This window comes from Homo sapiens, chromosome 4, assembly GCF_000001405.40.
Source record: "Homo sapiens chromosome 4, GRCh38.p14 Primary Assembly".
NCBI classification, from domain to species: domain Eukaryota; kingdom Metazoa; phylum Chordata; class Mammalia; order Primates; family Hominidae; genus Homo; species Homo sapiens.
Genome location: NC_000004.12, coordinates 181,253,554 through 181,265,830, shown reverse-complemented (window position 1 = coordinate 181,265,830; position 12,277 = coordinate 181,253,554). Strand labels below are relative to the sequence as shown.

General features: G+C 37.8%; 1 long non-coding RNA gene across 1 annotated transcript, besides 1 other annotated feature; it reads left to right on the top strand.

Annotated features, from left to right (window-relative positions):
* The first annotated feature begins 801 nt into the window (after positions 1-801).
* Positions 802-4,815, top strand: LINC02500 (long intergenic non-protein coding RNA 2500). The gene is made up of 2 exons (NR_149139.1): positions 802-886; positions 4,263-4,815. It is a non-coding gene; the product is annotated as a long intergenic non-protein coding RNA 2500 (long non-coding RNA).
* Positions 6,774-7,307: an enhancer, noted in NCBI's record as "NANOG hESC enhancer chr4:182179677-182180210 (GRCh37/hg19 assembly coordinates)". NCBI's record gives its function as "activates a minimal SCP1, AML or CMV promoter by ChIP-STARR-seq in primed H9 embryonic stem cells {active_cell/tissue: H9 hESC(primed)}" and the evidence as "EXISTENCE:reporter gene assay evidence [ECO:0000049][PMID:30033119]".

Sequence of the window (12,277 nt, the reverse complement as noted above, 5' to 3'; positions counted from 1 at the left end):
TAAAGTATTCTGCAACAATGTCTTTTAGGAAAAAAAAAAGATTCTTATGAGAAAAATAGAGAAACAAAATATAAGTCAATATACTAAGATTAAGAACATAGATATGTATTTTCTCTTCCTTCCCACATCTCATTCTTTCTGTAATAAAATGATCTCAGCACTCGCACTGCCTTCTGATTACAGCAAGATTGCAAGACTTCTGCAGCTTTCCTACTGCAGAGCTATTTCTAATACCACACTGATCCTGAAATGTTTGCCATCTCCTTAAAGCACCTGCTGTAACTCCCGGCCATACTCTTCTCCCCACTTTAAAAACTAGATCTAACCCAACCATCAGGCTAAAAGTAGGAAATACAACAGTTTGAAGAAATGCAAAAATTTATCTTGTATTCTATTAAACGGCAGGCACTGCTGAAATAAGTTATGCCTAGGCACTTGGGTTCGGGTAAATCAAGTAACATGATATATTTTTTACGAAGGGGCTGTTTTAGCAAACTGGGCAGACCTACTGCTCTGATTTCTCATGCATTGTTTTACTCTCATTAAAATGTTTTTGGTTATACGTCATTATCTTTTACTTATCCACTAATGGTCTACAGACACACAAATATCAGGCAGGTGAAGTCTTCCCCCATCCCCCTCCCCCAATCCCGCTGCACCACTGCAGGCCTGGGTAGTAGCAAACACACCGATCTGCGCCCTGTCACTGGTTTAGGAAGCTGAGCCCCAGCCGCTGAGCCGTTTTCTACCGGCTGAAGCACGCATGCTTCCTTTGCTTCCTTTGCTTCTGCAAGGGAACAATGAGCAAGTGCATGTGTGGGAACCCTCCTGCCTGCTGGGCGCTCAGCTAGGAGTCCCAGAATACCAGACACCATTATATTCAAATGTAAGTACCAAAAGTCATTTTGACTTGAATATAAATTATTCTAGCTGCCATGTTGGATCACCGGCACTACTGCTCCTCTTCATTAGCAGTGATAATTGAGCAATGACTTTCTAGGTGCTTAAATCACAGTATGATTAATGGTGTATGTACCTATCTTGCTTGCAAGCTCCCTATTTGAAGGAGATTTTTCTTTTACATTTAATTATCTTCATCATCTTCAAACACGAAACACTCAAAGCACTGTGCTTATAAAACCTGGAGACCAACATTTTTAAAGCGTCTCTTGACCGGTCCATCACTTTGCCACTGGTGTTTTCAAGGTACCTTACAAGACTTATTTAATAAGAAACAAGAATGAATGCTACTGAATGAGACAGAAGAAATGCAAATTGCTGCTATTTCATTCCTTAAATTGCATACCACTTATATTCTTCTCACCTATCTTAATGTTGGTTTATAGGGTTCCTTTATTAGGATATGAGATTTAGAGTGTAGAGTTTGTGATTATTTTTCTAAGTTATTTTCGGGCGCTACCATTAAGATGAGAAGCCAAAATAATCAGCTAGAGATTGAGCTGAATTAGGAAGAGATAGTTGCTTTTTTCCCCCTTTAAATCCCTTCCTGTGTATGTCTAACAGTGCAGTTCTACCCAGAACACTCCCAGCATCTGGCCTATCTTGCATTCAATTCACCCAAAAGTTATAAAATGTATAATTAACGATGTGGCCCTATATATAGCACACTGACACCTTCACTAACTTAAATCTATAGCTTATAGGTGAAAGTAAATAGAATAAGTTATAGGTATTATTAGCATATGAGACCAGTCTGAAGAAAAACATACAAAAAGTAAAATGTCACACTTCCTTTTCTCTCGTATTTTATATTTTGAGAATTTTAAAAATTGCTAAGTGCAGTAACACTTAGAAGAAGCCACATCTGATGGGACGGTTCTTTTTTATGCTTCTTAAAAGAAAAAGAGCCTTTGTTAATGTGCTTTCCTTATTACTCTAATTTTCTGTTGGCAGATCCCTGCTCTCAGACCCCTGTAGACCTACTGGTTCTGGAAAAAAGCTTTCTTCTTCGGTCCCCTGAGTAGGCTAGTGACAACTGAAAACATGCAGGTAAAACTAACACAGAATGGTCGTTTCAGAGCCAATTTTTTGTGGTGGCAAAGATGTGCCAGCAGGTTTGCTCATGCTGCTGGGTCCAGGGAACCTTTTTGACAGAGTCCCCACCCCCTCTTGCCTAAATCAGTAGAAATGATTTGGAAATCCTTTTGGGGAATTATTTCATTTTCATTTTGCTTTGCTTCCCCTTATTCTTCTGAAAGCAGCATTTACATGCTCCCTGCTCAAATTTATAAGAGCAAAACAAAACTTACATAACTCAGAAAGTCAGTAAATTCTTATTTCGTTGGCAAAACGAATCACCTGTTTCCTTGACTCAGTTCAGACCAAAATTAAAAGCACTCAGACATCCTAATAAATACCAGAGCAATGGGCATTTACAAAATCATTGAATGGAAAAGACAGAAAGAATGGTTAAAAAAAATTGTAACCTGCAATAGGACCATCCTTAAATATATTAATAGTATTAAAGATTTATTTTGTTATTCAGTCTTCTACAATGTCCCTGTGAGGTTGAGTGCCTCCCCATTTTATGGTTGAAGAAACCAAGACTCGGAGATGATAAATAATTTACTCCAGTTATATTGCTGGTAAGAGAAAGAGCCAGAATTCATACTAAGGTCTGAGTTAAGTCCAGGTTTTCTACATGTGATATCGATAGTATATTTAAAACAACTAGCATGATGAATATTTTGTACCTAGCTAGAGTATTTCTAGCTGCTAGAGATTGGGAGAAACTCATATCTATGTATTATGAAACTTCACATTCAAACCTATAATTTAAAGAAAAATATCGTCATGTTACTAGGATAAAATTTCACTTTTTCTCTTCATGGTAATTTAATTTTAACTAGTAGTTATCAGCCATAATACCCTGTTTAGTTTTAACTAAAATAAGAAATCAAGAAAGTAAAGAGAATTTGAAGCTTAGAATAAAAAACCCAAATGTTACCACTTATAAATTAAACACAAACACAAAAGAATGTGATAAAATCGGGACAACATCTAACAGTAGGAATAGTTGGTTGACTACGCTTTTACTCCTATCTAAATTGATGTCATATAGGTGGTCCCAAACACAGATAAGGGCTCCCCCAGTTTGGATAAGAAGTCTGATTATGCTGTGCATCCCTGGATAGTCCTGCCAGACACGAGGATATGCACAAATGCCCATCAGAAGCAAGACTATTTTACATCATTGCACACACACTCACACGCACACTCATACACGCACACTCACAAAGACATCCAAACAAAACATGCCACTAGCGCATGAAGTGAGGCATTTGATGGTGTGGACAAGAAGCCAAACTTTTCCACTTACTAGCAGTGTGACTTCCATCACTCCATCTCCTCCGTGAGCCTGGTCCATAAATTCAGCACCTCATAGCACCAATCTCACACACATGGATGGTCATCAGGGGCTCAAGGAACGTGAAGCTCATGGAACATTCTATAATCATAAACACTCTTCAAATACAATGATTGTTGTCATGGCTGTTACTTATTTCTGAAACTCCTGCTATGATACTGCTCCTGAAACAGCTGGCTACCAGGAAGAACACCTGTCATCCCTAATCCACTGGTCCAGAACACTTTCCTCCATACAGAGCAGGTTTTCATGATTGGATGATTACCCTGCATGGCTGGCAACAAACTCAATTACTGTATTTTGAGAAATCAGCCATAAATTGGAGGTTTCTTATATGCAAAGTGCATAATGAGATGAAAGCCTACTTGAAACTCATCAGAGGCGCAACAATACTCTGACTTTTAATAAAGGCTAAACCAGGGCAGGTGGAAGGGGGAACATTTAGATAAACATATTTTAGGGTAGACAAATGGAAAAAGTAAAACAGCACTATTTTAATAATTATAATTACAGGATGATTCTTTTATCAGATTTTGGAATGAGCTGGTTTCCTTTAGAAACAACCAACAACAACTCTGATTTCTTTTAATGTTTTCTCTTTTTCTAAAAAATAGCCTTTTTCTCTGTCTTGAAGAGAGGTCATAAATCCTGAGTTCTATCCAAGAGAAGCCTGAGCTTCAAGCTTTTTCACCAACACAGTGTATTAAAATGCTTTAAATTAAGGAACTCTTGTATTTAATCTACAAACCTATAGATTAAATACAAAAGAGTTCGATCCATTTCCCACCTCCCAATGCCATACAGCAATGGTTACTTTTTAAACTGCTCAAAAAAGATTCTGAGATCTTAATTTTTTGTTTTTTTCCTTGAGCAGACCACAAAAGATGTGAGAATTCAAACTGAGCCATAGCTCCATCTCCTGGAAGTGTATATCAGCAGCAACAAGAGTAAAGACCCAGAGGCATGAGAAACACTTCCTCACTGAAGCACTCACGTTCCGACTGTGTGCAAAAGACCTTTTGTGTCTCACTCACTGAGGGAGATTGTTCTTCACTCAATCAATGAGAAGAACAGACGTCTTAGAAAACCTTCAGTACCTGGGGGAAATGAATGAGCTCAAACACAAGGGAAAGTCAGCCCGTGTTCAAGATAAGCCCATCTCAGGAAGGCAGGCACCATGCTCCTGAGACTACTTTACCCCCAGATAAGAAAGCCCTTATTGATAAGCCAAAATCACAGATTATTTTATTAAGCTCATATTTTAAAAGAATGCAAAGCTTCCTTTAATGTTACTTTCCATTATAAATGTAAAATTACAGTTTGCACATAATATCTGGATTCTGGTTAACTATTTTCCATACTGTATTTTGCAATTGCATATCTGCATTTCTATTTTTATATTAAAAAATAAATAGGGTTATGCAAATAATATTTCTAATTGTGCATATTTATGTATTTATATTAAGTTTTAGTATGTCTGCTTGCTCACATAATTTATCTTCTCTTTATGTATAATTTCATTTACTTACAATAACTAATTATTAGGGAAACAAATAAAATCTTTGAGAAATTACCAGAGGTTAATTCATAAGTGCTTTATCTTGCTTCACAGATAATCATATACTTTATTTCTAAACTTTGAAATGTTATTGTCCATATTGTTTCTTCGTACTTACAAAAGTAAGAAATTGGATTGTAATGTTTCCAATTTATGTTGTCATGCTTTCCTCTCTTTAATATAACTTGAGTTTATGTAAAGTTTGAGCGGTTCAAGTTATTTCCAAAAATATAATAGGAGCCCCACCCTTCTCAGTTCTTTCACACTAACACTTTTATTGACACATTTGGAATGGGGAAGGATGTAAGCCACACTAGTCAATTTGGATCAGCTGTTTATTTACAATTTACTCCAAAGATTTAAGTAAGCAAAGTCAGTGAGCAATTGAAATTGTTTTCCTACTCTCTTTTATTCTTTTTTTTTTTAAAAAAAAAAAAAAACAACAGCCATTTGAATGAATTTTTTTACTCTCCTGATGTTTCTCTCTGTTTCCACACTGAGCGCCTGATAGAAGCTGGACACCTGCTTGCCTTCAGGCTATTCCATGTTCTTTAAAACTGTGCTGAATAGAGATTGAGTTCAGCTTCCTATATCTATAATCAGTGTCTGATTTGGAAACAGAAAAAAAGCTTTATATAACTATTAATAGTGGGTGAACTGGAGCCAGCACTTTGATATTAATAAAATAAACACAATACATAATAAAGCACAAAATCCAATTTATTCAATGTAATTGAGAATATGGCCCCCTGGCAAGATGAATATTGTGAGAAAACTAAAAATCAGTATATACTACTTGATTTTCAAGGAATTAAATATGTGTAGACTACACTTAACATTCAAATTAGCTTGACTCTGATGTAATATCACGTTGATGCTTCAGAAAGAATATTTAGGGCCTCAGGATCATTATAATGAACACCAGTGTCATGGTAGAACTACTAAAGGACTAGAAGATAGACGCTATTACACTAATTTTGTCCTGAAATCAGGACATATTCCTTTAAAAATATTTCTGGATATCTGTTTCTGTGCTTATTATGTGTCTCTTTTTCATAAAAGTTAAGTGGAGAAGATATGTGTATAAATCCTATTTCTTTGGGGCTACATAGAGTTTGGATAAAATGGGGATAGGCTTCATAGCGAAAGTTTACACCTGAAGTCTCCCCATCTCGTGTATGGCTTTGCTTGATTAACATACTTTGCTCAATGGCCATAAAGGAGCACGCATTTTAGGTTAGAGTTTTCTGTTGGCTTTTGATGATTGGCTTGCAGCCAAAGCACTTATCCTGCTATTCAGGATATATTGTAGAAAACCATATAACTGCACCTAAGAGTCTTTAATTGCTAATTGTTCCTAATAACTGTTTAGGATATAATGCAAACAACAATACATGATGTCAGTTTGAATTTCAAGGTTGTTATTCAATCCCAAGTTTCTGCTGTGTTATGATCTCTTCCTGTGGTTAATGATGTCTGGAAAACCCTCTGTGGAATAACAACCCTGGCTTGGGTAAGGGGCAAAGTCTGCGTTAAAAGAATAACAATAGAAAATAGAGGTTTGAGTAATAGCTACTGTGAGTTGGAATGCAATAACAAGCATTGTACAAAATGAAATAAATGGCCACTTTTGTGCTTCCAATTATAATACACATCTCTGTAACTATTCAGAGATTAACTGTGCTGCGGATTAGCTATAGAATTTGGAATTATCTTCTACATTGTCATGTGCATCCAAAGTGTCCTGTTATGCTCCGGGAATCAGGGAATCACTTTCTCCAGGTCTTATTCTTAAAGGACTGAGACAAGCTTTCATTATTTCTGAGGATGCTCATTGATCTCCCTTCTACTCATAGTGGCTCAACCCAGAACATGGAAGCCTTCTTATAATAGGCAATGGCAAAAATGTGATGGGGCCAAGCTCTGGCTAGCTAATAACTCTTCAAGTACTTCTCCCTCTGTTCTGCCTGCAATTTCAGTAAGATTTCTAGCACTTGGAGTTTAAATGTCCTCTAGCCCTTTAGAAGCTGGCATCTAATTGCTTCTTCACGTTGCCAAATGACTGAGTGTTTTCTCTATTGACATGGTTCCTGCCAGACTTTGGAATACACAGTAAGCAGGATAAGAGAGACAAGAGAAGCATAAAACTCGCTCAGAGGAGGATTAGAGCACAGCTGGGAGTCAGAGAGTCAGTAGAAGGGGCAGGAAAACAAAAGCCAAGAAAGAAAAATGAAAAACTGTAGATTGCACAAAAGAAAAGGGAAGCAAGACCAGAGTGGATTGCTGGTAGAGAGATACAAGGCCTGCTGTGTCTGAGAAATATTTAATGGAAGCATCTCTATATGTGGGTGTGCTATTGTGTATGTTGATACATGCAAAACAATGTCCCTTCCTTACCTACCTCCTTTAATCACAAAAAAGCCCAATGTAGTATTTGGTTCATCATTCCCATTCCACATTATTCCTTATTATCTAATTTTGGTAGATTGCAAAATGGCTACAGTCCTTCACTTTTCCTTGTTTCCATGCCTTTTGCTCTGGAATTTAGAAGCTCCTGCCATTAACAAACAGATTCTACTTTCCTTCCCCTCGAATCTGAGTGGCCTATTGACTTTCTTTGGCCCATACCCATAGAAAGTGGAGGAAGTGATATTGTGCCTTTATTTCATGCTCCTACTGGCTTTCTTGGAGTTCTACCCAGCTGCCCTATGAACAAGCCCAGCCAACCTGCTGGAGGAAGAGAGACCATGTGGAACTGAGAAGAGTTCTCCTAGTAGACGTGATCCTAGGCTAGTCAGCTCTCAACTGGCCTGACTGCCGACTGAAGATGCTTGAATCAATTCAAATGTAACCAGAACTGCCCACCTGAGCCCTGCCCAAATTCCTGAAAAAGAGACTTACAGGTTAAATGAACGTTAATCCTATTAAGTTTTGGGATGATTTATTATGCATAAAAGGCTAACTTCAGCAATAGCCAAGTTATGTCTCTTGAATAGGTAAACAACTTTTGTGTGGTAATAAGTATATTGTTAAATCCATATTTGAAATTTGTTTTTTTCTTACAATTGTCTTATATCAATCTCCAAAGAACCTTACCTAAACAGCCGGATGTATTAATCATATTTGCGGTTCAAGATAAAAGAGTTTGAAAGGAATCAATCTGTAATTCTTGCTTTTTTCCCAAAACTTTCATTAAGACTATGTCTATTGCACAACATAAAGCCAATTATGCATTTATTTTTTCGATATAGAGAACCATTTTATAAAATATAAGGCCTTTTGGTCTCGACTCCTAGCAGGTACTCTTAAGACTTGGATTTTAGGAGAATGTACACTTGGGGAAAAGAAATACCAGTATTGATTTTAACCCTAGTGAGTTTCTACCCAACCCATTCATAAAAGAACCAAAACTTCTGAAAGATGGTTTTAGATGGTTAATCTACTATCACAGCAAACAGATCTATCTTCATCTCATCTATGTTCTTCATGGCACCTGAATAATTTAAGGATACAATAACTACTTTAAAAATTATTAGGTCAACCAACACCAGGCAGTCAAGCAATTTATTCATCATTGGGAAGCCTCTTGACCCCAATGGCTCTGACAATATACAGAGATGGTAATGACATTACCTAATTCTGTCACGCGCAATTAATCTAGATTTTTTCTCCATGATTAAAATGGAAATTACTCGCAACTTAGAATTGCTGTTGAATAAAGGGTTACAAATTCCACCTGAGTTACAGAAATTATACCATATGCTTATGAGCAGTAACTTGGTAGAGTTTCTTCTGTTAAAATAATGTAGAAAAACTGGTCTTGGACACAGCAAAGACTAATATTAAATGGATGAAATCGCAGTAAATTGTAAAGGTCTCTGTTTCAATCAGGATCTAGGTGGGAAATAGATGCACACTCATATTGAGTAATGGAAGAGAGTAAAGGCACAACTTTCAAAGGTGTGGGTGGCAGCTTCATCGAGGTACTCTGGGACTAGTAGTAGTAGGGAGCATTATTGAACCCTGAGGCCTGAAGAGGTAAAGAGGGGGAACAGTTTCTGAACCCCAAAAGAGCTGTTTTGAGAGGGCCACCTACAAGGAACTGTGGTGTCCTCAACCAGCCACCATGAAGTGACCTGGATGACCTGTCAGGAGGGAACCAGATACCCTGGCTTTATTCCCTTCCCATCCTTCATCTGTCAGTGCCTCTCATTAGCTAAACCCAATGAAAGCCTAAGGAAAATGATATCCGTCAATTACTATACATTCAGGCCCTGCAGCCACCTAAGACACAGAGCAGAGTGGAGAAGGGTGGGGAAAGGTGAGTAATGGTTCAGAGGCTTGGATGGAAGTGACCAGTTCATTTACAAAGAATGAGAGTTAAAATGACATTTTTATTATTTTATTTTTGTTATTACTTTATTTTTCCCATAAGTTATTGGGGTACAGGCAGTATTTGGTTATATGAGTAAGTTATTTAGTGGAGATTTGTGAGATCCCGGTGCACACATCACCCAAGCAGTATACACTGCACCATATTTGTTGTCTTTTATCCCTCACCCCCCTCCTACTCTTTTCCTCAAGTCCCCAAAATCCCTTGTATCATTCTTGGGCCTTTGAGTCCTCATAGCTTATCATCCACGTCATTGCAAATGCTGTTAATTCATTCCTTTTTATGGCTGAGTAGTATTCCATCATATACATACCACAGTTTTTTAATCCACTCATTGACTGATGAGCATTTGGGTTGGTTCCACGATTTTGCAAGTGTGAATTGTGCTGCTATAAACATGTGTGTGCAAGTATCTCTTTCGTATAATGACTTATTAAAAATACATTTTTCATGAGTTTTTAATTCTTTGAGAATTGTGGGGTATTTAACTTAGGGAACTACTGGCATATATGTTTCTATTAACATTTATAAATGTTTATCAAAGAGAATTATAAAAGATTGGAAATGGCTGGAATCATGAAAAACAGAGTGGGATCCAAACACATATTTCATCTACAGTCAATTCTCAATGTTCTTAAAGAAGTATTTTTATTATTACCTCATAGGTTCATTGCATTTTCCTCATTATTATCATTCTTTTATACTTTACTTATTATACTTTTATACTTTACATATTTTACTCTTATGAGTAAAACAATTTTTTTTTTTTGCTATGGAAATCTATAGAATTATTCAAGTCAGACGAGCATGGTGGCTCACGCCTGTAATCTCAGCACTTTATGAGGCCAAGGCAGGTGGATAATGAGTTCAAGAGTTTGAGACCCGCCTGGGCAACATGGCAAAACCCTTTCTCTACAAAAAATACAAAAATTAGCTGGGTGTTGAGGTGCATGCCCGTAGTCCCAGCTACTCTGGAGGCTGAAGTGGGAGGATCACCTGAGCCTGAGAGGTCGAGGCTGCAGTGAGCCATGATCGCACCACTGCACTCCAGCCTGGGCGACAGAGCCAGGCCCTGTCTCAAAAAAACAAACCAACCAAAAGAGTTATTGAAGTCACTGAAAGGAAATGCATCAACTCATTTTTGGTCTCATTTTGGTTCTGCCTGTAACATGCTTCTAACCTCAGGCAAGCTGATCAACATTTTCGGCCTGAATGTTTTCATCCATATTAGTGAAGATAATAATATTCTCCACCTCATAGGGTTGCTGTGAAGGTGGCAAGAATTCTTCAAGTAAGGCCCTTAAAATTGTGTTGGCACATGGTAAGCACCCTACAAATGTGAGCGAGCTGTAGTACTAATGTAGAAATGTCGACTATAATTTCTCTCATTTGATGAGTTTTTTTGTTCCTGGGAAGAGCTAACCGGCTGTTTGTGTATTTTGCTGTTTGGTAAGACTATAAATGTGACTTGGGCTTCGGCCACATAAACCACCTTCCCTAAACCCTTAGCTGGGCATGAGTCAGTCAGGCAATAAGGTTAAGAGAGAAAGACAGATCCGTTTAATCTGGGGTTGTAAGTGGTTTTAAGATCAGATTTTACTACTTAGCATGGTTTGGCAAGCAGAATAGAAGGATACAGGGCCGTGTGTGGAAGCTGACTTCCCTACAGCCAGTTCACAAGGCCCCTGGTTCCTTTATTTAAAGCATCCACCAATAGTGCCAACACACACCCATTTGAAAATCTCAGAACTAACACTTATTTCCAGTCAGAACACAAGATTGGTGGATTTTAAACGCAGAGCCGTAACTACTCCCTGGGTGCTCTGATCTCCCGGCAGGACTTCCTTCAAATCCTCTCCTCGGGCCGAGCTCCGTCCCAGCTCATTTCAGATGCTCTCTGACTCCTGCAGACAAAACACCTTCCTCGATAGAAATAGATTATTAGCTTTCTTTGTTTGCAGGCAATCAAACACCGTAAGAACTAAAAGACAGATAATCAGCTAATTGAAGCCTTTTCCACCAAATAACAGAAGAAACTGAAAGAATATTGATTGAGGGAGAGAAATGAAGGTAAATGTACAAGTACTTTATTGGAATTAGAATTCTCCATTTGAGGGCTATTGTGAGAATGTATCAACTTGTTTTGGGATCATCCTTACTTCTCTCCAAAATCAGAGATAATTGAGTGTACTCTGTGGAACTGTCACTCAGGTATTAATGTGACTTTTTTAATATTCTTTGCACGTCTCCTTTGAGCTGCAGTCATTGGGTCCGAGATAGAAAACCACAAACTACCTTTGCTCCTTGTTAAGTTTGCACTTTGCCATCTACTCCATCACTAAAAATATTGGTGCCTTCTGTCTAATAAGTGAATTTGATGGAATAATTGAGGGCTTTACTATTACCTTAGTCAGTGAAGGGCCTTTCAAACTGTCTGAAAGAGTAGGGGCACAGGGAGGAAGAGAGACATGTAGTGATAGCTGGAAAGAAAAGCTAAGAGAAATCAGAGTAACAGACGATAAGCAACAGGGTGCGTAGAGACCACAGAGGAAGGGCAGGCAGCAGTAAGCTGGGCAGGTGGGAGGGTGAAGGAAGCTGGAAGTTTTGAGGTCTTTGAGACCTAGGAAAGCCAGAGTCACCACTAATCTTTGTTAAGTAATAAGAATAAAGGACTTGTTCCTCCTGCCATGACAAGCGCAACACCAATAGCTTTCGCTTACATAGCAATTAGTACACGCCAGGTGTTATTCCAATTTATATATATACATATATATATATATATACACACACATATATATACATATATAATTACGATATATAATTATATGCTCTTCTCAATAAATCTATGAGGTAAACACTATTCTTGCCCCATTCTACACATGAGGAAACTGAGGCACAGAAAGGTTAAGTAGCTAGTAAATGTTGGACAATCGCCTCC